This window comes from Homo sapiens, chromosome 5 (assembly GCF_000001405.40).
Source record: "Homo sapiens chromosome 5, GRCh38.p14 Primary Assembly".
Lineage (NCBI taxonomy): Eukaryota > Metazoa > Chordata > Mammalia > Primates > Hominidae > Homo > Homo sapiens.
The window spans coordinates 128,639,172-128,659,942 of NC_000005.10; the positions used below are offsets into that span (position 1 = coordinate 128,639,172).

General features: G+C 37.6%; 1 long non-coding RNA gene across 2 annotated transcripts; it reads right to left on the reverse strand.

Moving 5' to 3' along the window:
• Positions 1-1,190: 1,190 nt before the first annotated feature.
• Positions 1,191-20,005, reverse strand: LOC105379167 (uncharacterized). Of its 2 annotated transcripts, none has more exons than XR_948768.3 (3): positions 19,928-20,005; positions 7,752-7,875; positions 1,191-1,240 (listed from the first exon to the last, which is right to left on the reverse strand). It is a non-coding gene; the product is annotated as an uncharacterized LOC105379167 (long non-coding RNA). The 2 variants fall into 2 exon arrangements; XR_948769.2 differs by lacking the exon at positions 19,928-20,005 and adding an exon at positions 16,939-17,185.
• Between the last annotated feature and the right edge of the window lie 766 nt (positions 20,006-20,771).

The window sequence follows — 20,771 nt, forward strand, 5'->3', positions numbered from 1 at the left end:
AAATCTCTAGTATCCACCAAATGTATTGATTAGTGACTTAGAGTTGCTGCATGAATGAGCTCGTTAAATCCTCACAAGAGCCCTACAAGGCAAATATTATTATTGTTCTAATTTTAAAGAGGAGGAAAGTGAAGCCCAGAGAACTAAAGTGACCTTTCTAAGGCCACATAGACAGTGTCGAGGAGACCAAGTATCTCCTATGGCTAGTCCTGTGCACTATTGCTGAAGTATTTTTCTTAGGGGGCTTGGGAGGAGACAGTGGTAGAACCAATGAGGTAGAAGTGGAGGATGGTAGGTGACAGAGTCTCCATCCAGTGGGGTTGGAGTTAACTCATCTAAGAGGCCTAGTGGCCAGGCCAGAAGGCAGAAAGGACCCAAATCTTGGTAAATGCTGGTGAAAACCCCATCCCACTCCTCCTACTCAACCACAGCCACCTTTAGGCATTCCCAGCTAGAGCATAGACCATAATTAAGGATATATATGAAAGATGAAACATATGGCCAACATCTGGACCAACTCTTCAACAGTGCCCATTGTGAAGAGACTGATGATCTGGATATACTTACTATTAATAGTTTAGGCACACTGTCTATCACACTCATGCTGCCTGGGCCAGACACATGAACCAGCATAGATGCCATAATGGCTTGACCAACAATGGACCTAGTTTGAGTTGCTGGTCTTGCTAATTTGTACCGTAATCCCAGATTGTCATGGACAGACTGATGACCTGAACATGCTGGGCATTTAGATATAAAACTGAGGCACCCCCGCTCACTTCATCTTGGCCAGATGCAAAGGGCCTAGATGGAGATTGTTCAGTGGACCGTTTTGCATCTTCTACTTGCAAGTATTTATTAAGCACTGGGGCATGTTTCCCTAAAGTTCTGTTGGACCTAGTTTTGACGCCAGAATGGCTCTGCAATTATCCAGAGCCACATGAAAATCAAGGCTTTCTATTTATAAACATTAAATGACTCAGGTGACAGATAATTCGATTTTTAAAAACTATATACATTTCTTGAAGTATTTTCACCATCATTACTTAGGTTTTTGCCATTTAATCCTGGTGTGTGGAATTACTGGTAGCTGGTACTACCAAAAAAGAGTTGGTAGTTTAAACTGAGGTGCTGAGAACAATTAATATGACATTCCAAAGTGAAGTGGCAGTATAAATGTTAATACTTACAGGGGAGAGCAGAAAACTAGATACAGTGCTCTTCAATTCTTCATTAACATCTGCAAAATAAAAGGATCAGTATGTGTCAGGTTCAGAGAGGATCTGGGGACAATTTCTTTAGAAAGACCTGTTAGAGGTCTGATGCAAAAATCTCCTTGCTTAAAGACCCTTTTCCTGGGAAAAGGGTCTTTAATGAGACAATGCAAGGAAAATTTCTTAAGAGAGAGCACTGAGTGCTGTAAATAGCCATGTCTCCCCTCAAAGGGATAAGGTTGCATTACCTGTTAGTCTGACATGTAGAAAGGAGGCTTTAATGAGACCACTCCAAGAGTGGGATCTTGCTGTCATGTGTGAAATCTCTAGGATGAGAAATAGCAAACTGCATGTTTGCAATTAGCAAGAGGAGAGTGGCCTCACTGGGCGTCCTGCACTTTGAGGTTTTATTGGTATTAGGGAATGTATACAAGTAACCTGTGAATTAGGTTCTGGAGATGAACGTTAACATGGGGAAGGTCCTGTCTAAGAGGGTAGCCTAGACTGAAGGATGAAGGGACCTTGACCAAGGGAAGTGAGGGCATTATCATGTTTCTATGAGCTGAGGAAGGAGTACATGCTCTATACTGTGAGAGATACCCTAATTTTAAATAAACTCAGAGTTTTAACTATTACATAGTTCTAGACATTTTACTATCCATATTGAAACTGTTATTTCCAAGGATAAGGAAAGTCTAGCCTCTCCTAATAAAATTAACAGGCAGTGGGGGAAAAAATGTTGTTTTAAGATTGCATCCCAAGAATGAGTTGTGTTTGTCCAGTACTATTCTGTACACTATAACATTAAATGGTAGTATTGAATAATCAAATACACTGAAATGTTTAGCAAAGAGATATATATTCTGAAGTCTTTCCTAGGAACAGGCTTACAGTATCTATAGTTTCAATATTTAACTGTCATGGTACTTTCTCAAAAGTTTGAATATTGAACATACTACATGTTATAGAAAAAAATAACATGCCTGTAATCCCAGCACTTTGGGAGGCTGAGGCGGGCAGATCACGAGGTCAGGAGATCAAGACCATCCTGGGTAACACAGTGAAACCCCCGTCTCTACTAAAAATACAAAATATTAGCTGGGTGTGGTGGTGGGCACCTGTAGTCTCAGCTACTTGGGAGGCTGCAGCTGGGAGAATGGTGTGAACCTGGGAGGCGGAGCTTGCAGTGAGCCGAGATCTGAGGTAGCACCACTGCACTCCAGCCTGAGTGACAGAGTGAGACTCTGTCTCAAAAATAATAATAATAATAATAGTGTGACTAGTCTAAATAGACTAAATTAATAAATTAATAAAATAAAAGAACAATGTGAATGAAATGTATCAACCACTGATGTCTGAGAGAACTGGTTTATTTTCTATTTCTAATCCAACTTTCTTCCATATCTTCAAAAACCCATCCTCTTCATCTCCATTAGCATCATACTTAAGTTTGCATTCTATCTTTAGGATGATTATGGTGTAATTATATCTGCTGAACATGTGTGATGTCTGATATTTCAATTAGACATTGAAGTAGAACCCAGCTATTATAAGTATCTCATAATGATTACCTCTTGTCTTGGGATAATCTGTCATTGTGTACACTTATTATATTTAAATACAGCCATAGCAACATTAAGGCGATGTTTTCTTTCTCTGAAACATCTGCATCTCCTCACTCACAGTTACTTCCTGGCTTCTTATTTATTTATCATTTTTAATTTTTCCAGAGAATATTCATGGAAGCTTCTCTATATTCTTCTAGTCATAAGTCCCAATACTTCAGCAATCTCATATTTGAGCACACTAATTATATCTTTGATTAATAGAGTTTTTAATCATAACATGATTTTGATGTTTGTTCAGATGATATTTTTCTTAATTTATGAAATCAGGGAACAAATTACTGCTGCTGTTTTTGCTTATATAATTTCCTATTATTTTATAACTGACATGGAAGAACATTTCTGTTACTAGGGAACTAATCTACAGTACATCATATCTCTTAATAGATTGGAATCATAGGATTTGAACAGAGAAGGTGAAGTATACAAATCCCCAAAATAAAAAGAACGTAAAAGATAGTTGCCCAAGAGATCATTAAAATAGGAGATTTCATGAACCTAAAATAGATTCCACTAGGGAAGGAAGAGATGCCAAAGTGCAGGGAAAGCATAGAAAGGAAATCATGGCTCACTCTATGTGGGGAGGGTTTTAAGAGAAGAAGATGACAGAAAAAGAGGGATGGGAAAATTTTAAACAATTCAGATAAACAGATTATTGGCTTTGAAATTTATTTAAGGAAAATTTAAACTTGTGAGTAGTCAATTTTGGAATTATCACTGTCATCAATTTTAACGTTATAAGTGGAAGATTTATCATTTCAAAAGGAGATAGAGCTTTTATGAAGCAGAAGATGCGACGATAGGTGAGTTGTAGTTGCTTAGGTAGACAGGAAAGCAGAATTTGCAGCTGGAAAGACATAATTCACAGCCAATTTCAAGGGGCACCATTGTATTATACAATGGAAAGGGTGTGGAGTAGAGTTCCTGTGACTGATCTACCACAAATAATCCAACACATAAGCTGGGTAAATTACTTTACCTTTCTGGGCCTCCTCTGCCGCTGGTAAAAAAAGACAGACTTGGTCTAAATAAACTTTAAGGTCTTTCTGCATTTAAAATTCAAGAAAAAGATGCTTTTTGAAATCTTTTAAGAAAAGCTTATAAGATTTTTATTGAAGATGCCACGCATTTACAAGATGTTCTGTTAGAACCCTTAGACTAGAAGGAATCTATTTAAAGAATATGTGCACAATGGCACTTTATTCAGACCATGTATATTTGCATCTTATTGCTCATATCAGATATGAATGTTGGTCAAACCTGCAACTCTGGCATAATCTATCACTTGCAGGCATGAAAACAGAGCATCTTACAATGCTCTCACCTTGTGTAGTGTGGTGTGATTCAAGCTTAGCACAAATTCGTCTACTGAAAAAATTTCATGTTCAGTCCAAAAAGTGATGATTTGATACTTCAGCTTTGACTTTAAATTCGTGTGTGTGTGCGTGGGGCTGGGGGAGGGGTTCGTTATAGAGGGTAAAAAAGTAATTTCTACTACATATCTCTTACAATGGCTAAAATTAAAAACAGTGACAATACCAAATGCTGATGAGAGTGTGGAGCAACAGGAACTCTCATTCATTGCTGGTGAAATGCAAAATGGTACAGCCACTTTAGAAAACAGTCTTGCTCAGTTTCTTACAAAATTAAATAGACTCTTAACATATGATCCTGAAATCATGCTCTTTGGTATTTACCCAAATGGGTTGAAAACTATGTCCATACCAAAAACCTGCACATGGATGTTTATAGCAGTTTTATTCATGATTGCCAAAAATTGAAAGTAACCGAGATGCCCTTCAGTAGGTGAATGCACAAACTGTGATACATTCATACAATGAAATGTTTTGCAGTGCTAAAACTTAATAAGTTTGTAGGATACAACATCAGTACACAAAATCAATTGTTTTTCTATGTACTAGCAGTGAACAAGTGTAAAATAAAATTAAGAAAATAATCCCATTTATAGTAGCATCAAAATAGATCATATGATATTTTGGTTCAAAAACCTCCAGTGATTTTTCTCCTACTCAGAGGAAAATTCCAATGATGCCATCATTCCTTATGAGGTTCAACAATGACCTTACTCTGAGCTACTTATCTGACCTCATCTCCTTCTGTCTTCCCTCTTGTTCACTCTGCTTTTGTCTCATTGGTATCTTTTCTGTCTTCAAATATGGCAGATATGCTGCTTGAAAGTCTTGTCTCCCAGATAGCTGCATAGTCTGTTCCCTCACTTCTTTCTGCAACTACATCTTTGTTCAAATGCAAATATATTTTTAAAAAGGATCTCTCTCATCACCAACATAAAATAATTATCTCCATCTCCACCCTCATTGCTTTTTTTCTCTTATATTGCTACACACACACACACACACACACACACACACACAGCTTTTGTTTATTATTCTACAACTTTTTACTTGCAACATGTTCAAGCTTAGAGAGAAGCAGCAAGAATATTTAATGAACACCTTATTCCATTCACCTGGATTTATCTACTTCCATGAGTATTTCCCAAGAACAAGGTCATTCTTTTAAATAATCACAATACAATGATCGCATCAGGAAAAATTGTATGGATTCAATTATACTGTTTAATATTCAGTCAATATTTAAATTATTTAATTGTTCCAATAATGTTATTTATAGCTGTTTTTTTCCAATTCAGTATTCTAACAAAGATCACATATTGCATTGTATTATATATCTTTAGTCACCTTTAATCTGGAATAGTTCTCAGCTTTTTTTTTTTTTTTGTCTTTCATCTTATTAACAACTTTGGAGAATGTCTTTTTAAATTTCATTGTTTTAGTTAATCCCTCATGATTAGATTACAGTTAATCATTTTTGGCAGGAATATCACATGAGTAATGTCTTACGTTAGGGATATGTGATGTTGCCTAGCTTTACATTTTACTCATTTTCTTGCTTGTTTATCTTTTCTCCTGTGAGAATGTAAGCTCCGTGAACATAGATCTAACTGTGTCTCCGTGGTTCACTGTTTCATCCTCATAGCTTGGGAAATATTTGTTGAATGAGTGGATGAATCCACAGCACACCAGCTTTATCGTGAATAATATGGAACAGCTGATCCCCACAGCTTGCTATCAGGTACTGCCAGGCAGCAGACCCATTGACCCTACACCCCATTCTGAGAAGGATGAGAAGTCCCAGAAAGTGAAACTGTTTTAGAATTTGTGGTATCTACTGCTGATCACATGTCTGCACAGAAGTATACCTATTTATACATTACATAACATATTACATTTATTAGGTACATTTTAAATGTATACATAAAAAGTTTTTAAGGACATAATTAAAAAGTGGATATAGATAGAATTTATAATATTGTCTTTCCAGACCAAAATGGCTTGTTTTTCCAATTCCTGTGGGTTCCTAAACTTCCATTTTGGAGATCATTGTTTTTATCCATCCTTCAGCAGAGCTGTGGTAGTGTGGTGAGTGCACATAGGAGTCTCTTCACTGGTCAGAATTTGGGGATGATCCCAGAGTTCCTAGCTCAGTTTTAGACAATATGTTTTCTTATTCTGGTAAATCTGAGCCTGCTCTTTTGAGGCCTTTCTAAGAGGCTCCTAAATGTCACTCAAAGTTGATAGTTATTTAAGATAAAGATGCTCCAGGTCTCAGTTTTTGACTTCTAGATGTTCAGCCAGGAAATTTCTTCAGTTCTTGGAAAATGATAAATTCTCAGAGGATAGCCCTTCCAGACCAGTCTTTAAATGATGCAGCTCAGAATGTTGCTAGGAATCTGAATCATCTAGCATGCCTTTGAAAATCAGTCCCATAATTATCTGAAGGGCTCCTTTAATTAAATCCATGTTTCAGGATGCTTAATCCAAACTGAAACATTCCAGAAGTGTACTTACCGAAAATAATATATTGTGACCATTTAAACCCCTGGTGCTTTAAATCAGCTACACTATAGTGGGTACTCCAGTGTCAAGGTCTTTGTCCCCAATTCAAAGTCTCATTTAAAAAGAATAGCTTCCCTAAAGTGTAGAATCAATTCAAGTCATTGTTTCTTTATGAAGACATTTTTTGTACTGTATATCCATATGAAGCCCCCCTTCTTATGAAATTACATGTGTCTTCAAATCTTCAGGAATTTACATTTTCAATATTTTAAGCAATTTTTTATTTTTAAACTTATGCTTTGTCATAATCCTGTGATTTTTAGGTTAAGGTTGAATAAAAGAATCATCTTTGAAGGTGCAATACCTGAGGCTTCCAGAAAGGTTATGTGCCTTTCTTTATAAAACGCAGATTTTCTGGGAAAGTACAATTTTTCTGCATCTCCTGAATCATGCATTCTTAGTATTCCCAGTGTTATTTATGGTGGTTGAGTGTTTGGGGAATGTACCATGCCATTTGTTTAAATTAAGAAGATAGATTCTTAATGTTTTCTATGTAACTCAGAATTTCTAAAAGGCAGCTTAACATTCTGAGACTTCAAAAACCATCAACGATATACTATTTATTTTAAATGAGTGTAGAACTCCTAAGGGGAAGAAAAGTTCAGTCAGTATTGAAAATTATATTTGTCAAGTGTTATTGGAGAACATTTAAGATATTTTAGAAATAAATCCTGCTCAATCTTTTATTTGGGACATGTCATTTTCCTTGTGAGTATGTGAGTGATTAAAGATCTTTTTGGCCCATCTCATTAGACAAGAAATGTTGACCCTATAAATAAGACATTTTAAAAGACAGATGTGCAGAGATTCATAAGCAAAGAAAAAAGAAGCCATGAATTTAAACACACACATACACACACACACACACACAAACACGCTTTTCATGCAGCATGTAGAAGCAGCAGCTGTAGTGTTTGACATTTGCACTGGATATGCAGCATTAAACTTTACAGTTTTCTAAGCATCTCAGGTACCATTTTACATATTCAGTTGTATCCAGCTTTCCATTATTGTTGGCAGGACATCCTTTGGAATGTCTGCTCTACTCAGGAGGTGATCTGGTGCCAGCCTCTTGCAGAGAAGGAGACAAAAAAGAATCTGTAATTTAAATAAAAAATAATGGTATAATAAAATTGGCAAGGAGGCAAAATGCCCTTAAAATCTCAATATCCTGAACAAAATTCAATTTCAGAAGGGCAGAGCTTTCCCAAAACTCTTTAAAACTCTCACTCTATGATAAGGCTCTTCAGAGAGAGATACCTTCCCTTCGTCTCAGTCAGAAGTTACTTGGATTACTATGTCAGGAAAACATCTCAGAGGCATCTAAGCATGTACTTTTTAAATTAAAAATTGGCTTTGCTCAAAGTAAAATGAGACAGAAATTGTCTTGGATATATTTTCCATAGAAGCACCTGCTTTGGGTGCAACCACACATAGAAGGATTTTGGCACAATAAATTGTCCGGCCCAATCAAGAGATGATATTTTGGATATTGTTCATGGCACCTTTTAAAGGCATTTTCTAGTGTTCTGTCTAGACTCATGTTCCGAGGTCAGCACACAGCCTTAGGATACTGTTCGTTGGCTGAAATAAGAGAACAGATGAGGAAATTGAAATTAAGGTCCTACCCTCGTTAGTGAAGCTGTGTCTGAAGCTACAGGACTGAGAGCACTGTTTTAAGAAGCCAAAAATGTCAATCTTAGCCAAATGAACTGCCATCACAACTAGTATGATCCTTGAAATCTTATAACACATTTTAAAATCTGGAATTTTATTATATATTATTATATAACAAGAATATTACTTTTGATAATTGAAACATATGAGGGTGACTTAGGGCATTTGATAAAATTATCACAATTATCTTTCTTGTTTGTGGAATATGTGTATTTTCTTTTCTGCCAAAGTTAAGCACCTTTTCATTCTGTTATTTAACTGACTAATATTGAGAACAACCTTGTAAAACATGTCACTCTATGGGATATTTCAAATACTAAAGAGAATTAGTTGTGCCCACTGATCCATGGCATCCTGTCACTTGGTGACCGAATGACCCCTAGAAGGTCACCCCAACCAAAGATGCGCACTACCTGAGCGGTGTGTATACAGCACAGCAATACTTCTATCAGACTCAGCAATCAGAAAGCTGGATTTTGAGATTAACTTTCTGTGAGATTCTTAATCCAAATCTGATAGATTTAAACATAAACAACAAAATCTAAATGAAAAATTCCCATGCCTTTGAGAACCATTCAATTGAAGCTGTTTCCCTGGAATTTAAAACAAACATCGACTATCTGCATATTATATGCATTTGTCACGTACTTTGCTTTTTATCTAATTGAATCCTTTCTCCAACCTCACTTTACATAGGTATATACTTAAGCTAAGAGTTGTTAAGTAACATGGCTGAGAATACCCAACTGCTAAGTGCTGGGTCAAGACTTGAATCCAAATCTGACTCCAAAACTCTTGCTTTTAAACCATGTTGCTGCTGGGCCTGGTGGCTCAGGCCTGTAATCCCAGCACTTTGGGAGGCCAAGGCGAGAGAATTGCATAAGCCCAGGAGTCCAAGACCATTCTGGGCAACATGATGAAACCCTGTCTCTACAAAAAAAAAAATACAAAAAAATTAGCTGGGCATAGTGGCATATGCCTATAGTCCCAGCTACTTGGGAGGCTGAGGTGGAAGGATTACTTGAACCTGGGAGGTCGAGGCTGCAGTGAGCCATGATTGAGCCACTGCACTCCAGCCTGGGTGACAGAGTGAAACCTTGTCTCAAAATAATTAGCTAACTAACTAAACAAACAAACAAACAAACAAACAAACCATGTTGCTATGCCTTCAATGTTATGCTCTTTATTTTTCCTTTGACATTAACCCCAATATCCCAAAATTATATTCCTTTAAATCAGGCTTTTTAATCTCCAAAAAGGTATGCAAATTTATATGTGCATATACGTCCAGGTTTATGTATTTCTTCTAGAAACATGGGGCATGATTTTCATCAGGTTCTCAAGCTTATCTGTGATTCAAAAATGATTAGAAACCCTGATAGAGCAGTAATTAGTAACCAGTGAAGAGTGCCTCTGCCACTCTAAGTAATCAGATACATCACATCATTAAGACCTTTTAAAAATATGTAACGTATATGAAAACCACACATTGACATGTGAATAAGAAAAATGTATGGTTATTAGTATTTACACAAATAGCATTTTATATATCATTGCAATTATGGTGTTCTTCAAATTTTATATTTAGTTTGTGTCCTGTTAGAAACCAGAAAGAAACTGTTGTGCTCTAAATTAGAAGTGATGGAAAATATGTACTTTATGTTCAGAATGTTACTTGGAAAACATATTTTCTTCATCTTGTATACACTAACATAATGGGGAAACATGACATTCTTGTATGATGAGGCATAACACTGCACAAAGAGGAAACTGATGAAACCAAAGGAAAACAATTGGTAAATCATGAGTTCTTCTGTGATAAGCCAGATGTGTCAAAAGTAGTTAGTATTTCTCCTGCAAAGAAAATTAGGAGGGAAATAAAGTTAAATAGTGCCCTAAAATATGTAGAAATGATCATAGCTGAAGTTTATAGAGAGTAATAAAATGTTGTTTTTATGAATTATGGCAATTAATAATTGGCAGTATACTATGGTTCTTGTTCCAATCAGCTTATAACTACGAGATTTATTTCCTTCTCACTAAGATCATAATCACCCCTCTCTTCTGTATCTTCAAAATTCTCCTTTCATGTCAGTACATAAACATGATCAAATCTTTCCCATCTCATAGCCCTTCTCTCAATATATTTTCAACATACTGACCTCTCTTTCCTTCCTTTCATATCCAATCTAAGTCCAACTCATTATTGCAATGCTCTTGCTAAGGTTTATTGATAAACTTCTCAAAATCACCTTCTATTATCAATATTTAGACATCTTAAAAGTGACTCTGCAACATTTGACACTTTTAAACATGCTTATATTAGTCCGTTCTTGTGCTGCCATAAAGAAATACCTAAGACAGGGTAATTTCTTTTATTATTATTATTATACTATAAGTTCTAGGATACATGTGCAGAACGTGCAGGTTTGTTACATAGGTGTAAATGTGGCATGGTGGTTTGCTGCACCCATCAACCCACCATCTACATTAGGTATTTCTTCTAATGCTATCCTTCCCCTAGCCCCCACAAGCCCGGGTGTGTGATGTTCGCTTCCCTGTGTCCGTGTGTTCTCATAGTTCAACTACTACTTATGAATGAGAACATGTGGTATTTGGTTTTCTGTTCCTGTATTAGTTTGCTGAGAATGATGGTTTCCAGCTTCATCCATGTCTCTGCAAAGGACATGAACTCATCCTTTTTTATTGCTGCATAGTATTCCATGGTGTATGTGTGCCACATTTTCTTTATCCAGTCAATCATTGATGGCCATTTGGGTTGGTGCCAAGTCTTTGCTATTGTGAATAGTGCTGAAATAAACATACATGTGCGTGTGTCTTCATAGTAGAATGACTTATAATCCTTTAGGTATATCCCTGGTAATGGGATTGCTGGGTCAAATGGTATTTCTGGTTCTAGATTCTTGAGGAATCACCACACTGTCTTCCACAATGGTTGAAGTAATTTACACTCCCAACAGTGTAAAAGCGTTCATATTTCTCCACATCCTCACCAGCATCTGTTGTTTCCTAACTTTTTAATGATTGCCATTCTAACTGGCGTGAGATGGTATCTCATTGTGGTTTTGATTTGCATTTCTCTGATGACCAGTGATGATGAGCTTTTTTTCATATGTTTGTTGGAGCATAAATGTTTTCTTTTGAGAAGTGTGTGTTCATATCCTTTGCCCACTTTTTGATGGTTGTTTGTTTTTTTCTTGTAAATTTGTTTAACTTCATTGTAGATTCTGGATATTAGCCCTTTGTCAGATGGATAGATTGCAAACATTTTCTCCCATTCTGTAGGTTGCCTTTTCACTCTGATGATAGTTTCTTTTGCTGTGCAGAAGCTCTTTAGTTTGATTAGATCCCATTTGTCAATTTTGGCTTTTGTTGCCATTGCTTTTGGTGTTTTAGTCATGAAGTCTTTGCCCATGCCTCTGTCCTGAATGGTATTCTCTAGGTTTTCTTCTGGCTTTTTATGGTTTAGGTATTACATTTAAGTCTTTAATCCATCTTGAGTTAATTTTTGTGTAAGGTTTAAGGAAGGGTTCCAGTTTCAGTTTTCTGCATATGGCTAGCCAGTTTTCCCAGCACCATTTATTAAATAGGGAATCCTTTCCCCATTTCTTGTTTTTGTCAGGTTTGTCCAAGATCAGATGGTTGTAGATGTGTGGCATTATTTCTGAGGCTTCTGTTCTGTACCATTGGTCTATATATCTGTTTTGGTACCAGTACTATGCTGTTTTGGTTACTGTATCCTTGTAGTATAGTTTGAAGTTAAGAAGTGTGATGCCTCCAGCTTTGTTCTTTTTGCTTAGGATTATCTTGGCTATATGGGCTCTTTTCTGACTCCATATGAAATTTAAGGTAGTTTTTTCTAATACTATGAAGAAAGTCAATGGTAGCTTGATGGGGATAGCATTGAATCTATAAATTACTTTGGTCCGTATGGCCATATTCACAATATTGATTCTATCCACGAGCATGGAATGTTTTTCCATTTGTTTGTGTCCTCTCTTATTTCCTTGAGCAGTGGTTTGTAGTTCTCCTTGAAGAGGTCCTTCACATCCCCTGTAAGTTGTATTCCTAGGTATTGTATTTTCTTTGTAGCAATTATGAATGGGAGTTCACTCATGATTTGACCCTCTGTTATTAGTGTATAGGAGTGCTTGTGATTTTTGCACATTGATTTTGTATCCTGAGACTTTGCTGAAGTTGCTTCTCAGCTTAAGGAGAATTTGGGCTGAGATGATGGGGTTTTCTAAATATATAATCATGTCATCTGCAAAGAGAGACAATTTGACTTCCCCTCTTCCTATTTGAATACCTTTATTTCTTTCTCTTGCCTGTTTGCTCTGGCCAGAACTTCCAATACTATGTTGAATAGGAGTTGTGAAAGAGGGCATCCTTGTCTTGTGCTGGTTTTCAAAGGGAATGCTTCCAGCTTTTGCCCATTCAGTGTGATATTGGCTGTGGGTTTGTCATAAATAGCTCTTATCATTTTGATATATGTTCCATCAATACCTAGTGTATTGAGAGGTTTTAGCATGAAGGGGTTTTTAATTTTATTGAAGGACTTTTCTGCATCAATTAACATGTTGTTTTTGTCATTGGTTCTGTTTATGTGATGGATCATGTTTATTGATTTGCATATGTTGAAACAGCCTTGCATCCCAGGGATGAATCCAACTTGATCATGGTGGATAAGCTTTTTGATGTGCTGCTGGATTCGGTTTGCAAGTATTTTACTGAGGATTTTCGCATCAATGTTCCTCAGGGATATTGGCCTGATATTTTCTTTTCTTGTTGTGTCTCTGCCAGGTTTTGGCATCAGGATGATGCTGGCCTCATAAAATGAGTTAGGGAGGAGTCTCTCTCTTTTTCTATTGTTTGGAATAGTTTCAGAAGGAATGGTACCAGCTCCTCTTTGTACCTCTGGTAGAATATGGCTGTGAATCTGTCTGGTCCTGGGCTTTTTTTGGTTCGTAGGCTATTAATTACTTCTGCAATTTCAGAACTTGTTATTGGTCTATTCAGGGATTGGACTTCTTCCTGGTTTAGTCTTGGGAGGATGTATGTGTCCAGGAATTTATCCATTTCTTCTAGATTTTCTAGTTTATTTGCATAGAGGTGTTTATAGCATTCTCTGATGGTAGTTTGCATTTCTGTGTGATCAGTGGTGATATCCTCTTTATCATTTTTTGCTGTGTCTAATTGATCTCTTTTTTTCTTCTTTACTAGTCTGGCTAGTGGTCTATCTATTTTGTGAATCTTTTCAAAAAACCAGCTCCTGGATTCACTGATTTTTGGGAGGGGTTTTTTGTTTTTCTATCTCCCTCAGTTCTGCTCTGATCTTCGTTATTTTTTGTCTTCTGCTAGCTTTTGGATTTGTTTGCTCTTGCTTCTCTAGTTCCTTTAACTGTGATGTTAGGGTGTCGATTTTAGATCTTCCTCGCTTTCTCCTGTGGGCATTAAGTGCTATAAATTTCCCTATAAATATTGCCTTAAATGTGTCCCAGAGATTCTGGTACATTGTGTCTTTGTTCTCATTGGTTTCATAGAACTTATTTATTTCTCCCTTAATTTCGTCATTTACCCAGTAATCATTCAGGAGTAGGTTGTTCAGTTTCCATGTAGTTGTGTGGTTTTGGGTGAGTTTCTTAATCCTGAGTTCTAATTTGATTGTACTGTGGTCTGAGAGACTGCTTGTCATGATTTCTGTTCTTTTCCCTTTGTTGAGGAGTGTTTTACTTCCAATTATGTGGTCAATTTTAGAATAAATGTGATGTGGTGCTGAGGAGATTGTATTCTGTTGATTTGGGGTGGCGAGTTCTGTAGATGTTTATTAGGTCTGTTTGGTCCAGAGCTGAGTTCAAGTCCTGAATATCCTTGCTAATTTTCTGACTTGTCGATCTGCCTAATATGGACAGTGGGGTGTTAAAGTCTCCCACTATTATTGTGTGGGAGTCTAAGTCTCTTTGTAGGTCTCTAAGAACTTGTTTTATGAATCTGGGTACTCCTGTATTGGGTGCATATATATTTAGGATAGTTAGCTCTTCTTGTTGCATTGATCCCTTTATCATTATATAATGGCCTTCTTTGTCTTTTTTTTATCTTTGTAGGTTTAAAGTCAGTTTATCAGAGACTAGGATTGCAACCCCTGTTGTTTTTTTTTTTTTCTTTACATTTGCTTGGTAAATATTCCTCCATCCCTTTATTTTGAGCCTATGTGTGTCTTTGCACCTGAGATGGGTCTCCTGAATACAGCACAATGATGGGTCTTGACTCTTTATCCAATTTGCCAGTCTGTGTCTTTTAATTAGGGTATTTAGCCCATTTACATTTAAGGTTAATATTGTTATGTGTGAATTTGATCCTGTTATTATGATGCTAGCTGGATATTTTGCCCGTTAGTTGATGCAGTTTCTTCATAATGTAGATGGTCTTTACAATTTGGTATGTTTTTGCAGTGGCTGGTACTAGTTTTTCCTTTCCATATTTACTGCTTCCTTCAGGAGCTCTTGTAAGGCAGGCCTGGTGGTGACAAAATCAGCCTTTGTTTTTCTGTGAAGGATCTTATTTCTCTTTTGCTTTTGAAGCTTAGTTTGGCTGGATATGAAATTCTGGGTTGAAAATTCTTTTCTTTAAGAATGTTGAATATTGACCCCTATACTCTCTTCCAGCTTGTAGGTTTTCTGCAGAGAGATCCACTGTTAGTCTGATGGGCTTCCCTTTGTGGGTAATGACCTTTATCTCTGGCTGCCCTTAACATTTTTTTCTGGTATTTCAACTTTGGTGAATCTGATGATTATGTGTCTTTGGATTGCTCTTCTCGAGCAGTATCTTTGTGGTGTTCTCTGTATTTCCTGAATTTGAATGTTGGCTTGTCTTGCTAGGTTGGGGAAGTTCTCCTGGATAATATCCTGAAGAATGTTTTCCAACTTGCTTCCATTCTCCCCATCAGTTTCAGGTACACCAATCAAAAATAGGTTTGGTCTTTTCACATAGTTCCATATTTCTTGGAGGCTTTGTTCATTCCTTTTCATTCTTTCTTCTCTAATCGTGTCTTCATGTTTTATTTCATTAAGTTGATCTTCAATTTCTGATATCCTTTCTTCTGCTTGATCGATTCAGCTATTGATACTTGCGTGTGCTTCATGAAGTTCTCATGCTATGTTTTTCAGCTCCATTGGGGCATTTATGTTCTTCTCCATACTGGATATTCTAGTTAGAAATTCCTCTAATATTTTTTCAAGGTTCTTAGCTTCCTTGCATTGTTTTAGAACATGCTCCTTTAGCTGAGAGCTGTTCATTATTACCCACCTTCTGAAGCCTGCTTCTGTCAATTCATCAAACTCATTCTCCATCCAGTTTTGTTCCCTTGCTGGGGAGGAGCTGTGATCCTTTGGAGGATCACAGAACCTTTCTGGTTTTTGGGATTTTCAGTCTTTTTGCATTGGTTTTTCCTTATCTTTGTGGATTTATCTACCTTTGGTCTTTGATGTTGGTGACCTTCAGATGTGGTTTATGTGTGGATGTCCTTTTTACTGATGTTGATGTGATTCCTTTCTGTTTGTTAGTTTTCCTTCTAACAGGCCCCTCTGCTTCAGGTCTGCTGGAGTTTGCTGGAGGTCCACTCCAGGTCCTGTTTGCCTGGATATCACCAGCAGAGGCTGCAGAACAGCAAATATTGCTGCCTGTTCCTTCCTCTGGAAGCTTTGTCCCAGAGGGGCACCCACCAGTTGCCAGCCAGAGCTCTCCTGTATGAGGTGTCTGTTGACCCCTGCTGGGAGGTATCTCCCAGTCAGGAGGCACAGCGGTCAGGGACCCACTTGAGGAGGCAGTCTGTCCCTTAGCAGAGCTTGAGCATTGTGCTGGGAGATCCACTGCTTTCTTTAGAGCCAGCAGGCAGGAACATTTCAGTCTACTGAAGCTGTGCTCACAGCCACCCCTTCCCCTATATGCTCTGTCCCAGGGAGACGGGAGTTTTATCGGTAAGCGGTTGGCTGGGGCTGCTGCCTTTCTTTGAGAGATGCCCTGCCCAGAGAGGAGGAATCTAGAGAGGCAGTCTGGCTAGAGCGGCTTTGCCAAGCTGCAGTGGGCTCTGCCCAGTTAGAACTTCCCAGCGGCTTTGTTTACACTGTAAGGGGGAAACAGCCTACTCAAGCCTCAGTAATAGTGGACACCCCTCCCCCTACCAAGCTTGAGCATCCCAGGTCAACATCGGACTGCTGTGCTGGCAGTGAAAATTTCAAGCCAGTCGATCTTAGCTTGAAGGGCTCCATGGGGGTAGGATCTGCTGAGCTAGACCACTTGGTTCCCTGGCTTCAGCCCCCTTTCCAGGGGAGTGAATGGTTCTGTCTCACTGGTGTTCTGGGCACCACTGGGGTATGAAAAAAAAACTCCTGCAGCTAGCTCGGTGTCTGCCCAAATGGTCATCCAGTTTTGTGCTGAAACCCAGGGCTCTGGTGGTGTACTCACCCGAAGGAATTTCCTGGTGTGTGGGTTGCCAAGACTGTAAGAAAAGCATAGCATCTGGGCCAGAATGCACTGTTCATCAAGGCACAGTCCTTCATGGCTTCTCTTGGTTAGGGGAGGGAGTTCCCCAACCCCTTGCACTTCCTGGATGAGGTGACGCCCCATCCTGCTTCTGCTCCCCCTCTGTGGGCTGCACCCATTGTCTAACCAGTCCCAATGAGATGAGCAGGGTACCTCAGTTGGAAATGCAGAAATCACCTGCCTTCTGCATTGATCTTGCTAGGAGCTGCAGACTGGAGCTGTTCCTATTCGGCCATCTTGCCCAGGAATCGAGACTGGGTAATTTCTAAAGAAAAGAGGTTGAATTGGCTCACTGCTCAGCAGGCCACAGAGAAAACATGACTGGGGAGGCCTCAGGAAACTTTCAATCATGGTGGAAGGGAAAGCAGTCACATCTTACATGGCTGGAGCAGGAGGAAGAGCAAGGGGGGAGGTGCTCCACACTTTTAAATAGCCAGATCTCATGAGAACTCTGTATCAGAAGAACAGCAAGGGGGAAATCCACCTCCACAATCCAATCCCCTCCCACCAGACCCCTCTCCAACATTGGGGATTACAATTCAACATGAGATTTGGGCAGGCACACAAAACCAAACAATATCCATGCTCTTATTAAATTCCCTTTTCACTTGTTTCTGTAGCACTACTCTTCCATGGTACTTCTTCAAGTTTGTCCTTGGCTCCATCTTAATTTCTGGAATGGGCTCCTATACTTTGGCCTGCTCCTTAAACATTGGTGTTCCCTAGAGTTCTGTGGTTAATCTTTGTCTTTTTCTCATTCTATATCCCCCTATCCTATCCTCACATATCATTCTAAACCTTGGTTTCAACTACCACCTTAATCACAAAAAATTTTTTATAAAGAGGATCATTTCATAATAATAAAGAGGTAAATTCATCAAGCGAATGTAAAAAATCTTAAATATTTATGCACCTTAAAACATAACACAAACATTTATAGAACTGCAAGAAGAAACAGACAAATGTACAATTTCAGTTGCTGATTGAACACTTCTTTCTCAGTGATTTATTGACAGAATATTAGTATATAGAAGACATCAACCAACTGGACTTTGACATTGACATTTATAAATCTGTATCTATCTAAAATTGAATTCATAATTCAAAAGTTTTCAACACACACACATACACAAGCTCAAGGGCAGATGGCTTCGCTATCCAATTCTATTATATATTTAGGAAGACATTGTATCGATCCTATATACACTGTTTTGGGAAATAGATGTGTCAGGAATACCTCCCAGATCATTTTATGAGTTCAGCGTTACTCTGTGTCCAAAACCAAACACTAAAAGAACAGAAAACTTTGGACAATATTCCTTCTGAACTTAGATGTAAATATTATTAATGAAAGCAAATTGTACCTAGTAACATAAAAGGAGGATAATACATCATGATTGTGTGGCATTTATTCTAAGAATCTAAGGATCGTTTTGCCTTTGAAAATCAATCAAATATAATTCACTACATTAAGAGCATTAAGGAGAAACTCATGTCATCATATTAGTAAATACTACTCCAAAACATATTTGACAGATTTCAACTCTCATTTGTGTTAAAAGTTCTCAGCAAACTATGAATAGAAAGGAGATTTCTCAGCCTGAAAAAAGGTGTCTATCAAAAATGTAAAGCTAACATCGTACTTATTAGTAAAAGGTTGAATATTTTCCCCTGAGATCAGAAATAGCAAGTAGGTTTGCTATGAAGCCTCTATTAAACAATGTACCATGGCCTGATATAAACCAGGCCAAAGAAGTGAAAGACATACAGGTTAGAAAGGATGATTACATAGCTAACCCAAAGGAATCTACAAAACAGCTACTAAAATTATTAAGTGAATTAAGCAGAATGAAAGGTCAAAATCCTCCAAATCAAAATGGTATATTTTTATATAACAGCAATGAACAACTGAAAGATGAAGTTTCTTAATTACCATGTTAAAAGTGTCTGAAAATACAACATACTTAGGGATAAATATAACAGCATATGTGTAAGACCTGTACATTGGAAAATATATGCAAAAATCCCTAGGGAAATACTTAAATATATGTAGCAACACACTGTGTTCATGAATTGGAAATCTCAATATTGTTAAAATGTCAGTTATCTTCAAATTGATCAATAGATTTTATCCAAATCTGATCAAAATCCCAGTAGAATTTTTAAAAAATAGAAATTGACAATATGATTCTAAAATTTATATGTAAATATAACTAGAATAGAATTAAAAAATAGAAATTGACAATATGAGTCTAAACTTTATATATAAACATAACTGGAATAGCCAAAACAATTTTGAAAATAAGGACAGAGTTGGAGGACTTACACTACATGATTTCAAGACTTATTATAAAACTGTAGTTATCAAAAAAAATAGTATTGGTGTTAGGATAGTCATATAAATCAATAGAATGAAAGAATAATGTCAAAAAGAGACCCACCCATATGTGGTTATTTAATTTTTGTAGAACAAGATTCTAATGTAATTCAAAGAGGAAAACAGTATTTATTTCAACTAATGGTGCTGAAATGGAATATTCCTTTTGGAAAAATAATTACTTGTAATTCTTACCTAACACCATACTAAAAAATTACTCAAAATGGATCATATATTTAAAAGTATGTAGTGGTTTTAAACACATCTGCTCAGATTTAACCACATTTCAAAATGCAGAGCCTTTTTGAATATGGGCCAGTCTTGAATATGACCAGCCTTAGCAACTCACTCCAAGAGACTATAGGTGATACCATGACATTTGAGGCTAGGTCATATGATGTATGACATTTTGTTTCTGGCTCTTTCCCTCAAGAAGTTTGAACTCAGCCATGGTATCGTATTATAAAAAAGACCAGGCCACATGGTGAGGCCACAGGTAAGTGTTCTGCCTGACAACACCAGCTATGATCCCACCTGATAGACAATATCAACCATCAGACATGTGAGTGAATGAGACTTCAGGTGATTTCAGCTCCCAGCCTTCCAGTTGCCCTAACTGCCATTCCAGGTGCCCTAACTGCCATTGAGTAGAACAAAGACAAGCAGTGCTTACCAAACTCAGCTTAAATGCAGATTTATGAGCCAAATAAACATGGTTGTTGTTTTAAGCTTCTAAATTGTGGTACATTTTGTTATGCAGCAATAGATAATTAGAGCAATATAAAAGCTAAACTGCCAAACTTTTAAGAGAAGTATAAAAAAAATTCATAGTTAAGATGATATGGTTAGGGTGTGTTTCCCCACCCAAATCTCATCCTGAATTGTAATGCCCATAATCTCCATAATCCCCACATGTCAAGGGGAACACCAAGTGGGGGTATTGGAATAGTAGGGTTGGTTTCCCCTATGCTGTTATCATGACAATGAGTGAGTTCTCACGAGATCTGATGGTTTTATAAGGGGCTCTTCCTCCTTTGTTCAGCACTTCTCCTTCCTGCTGCCTTACGAAGAAGGTGCCTTGCTTCCTGTTCACCTTCCACTATGGCTGTACATTTCCTGAGTCTTCCCCAGCCATGCTAAACTGTGAATCAGTTAAACCTCTTTCTTTTATAAGTTACCCAGTCTCAGGCAGTTCTTTATAGCAGTATGAAAATGGACTAATACAGTAAATTGGTACCTCAGAGAGAGGGGTGCTGCTATAAAGATACCTGAAAATGTGGAAGCAACTTTGGAACTGGGTAACAGGAAGAGGTTGGAATAGTTTCCAGGGCTCAGAAGAACATAGAAAGATGTGGGAAAATTTGGATCTTCCTACAGA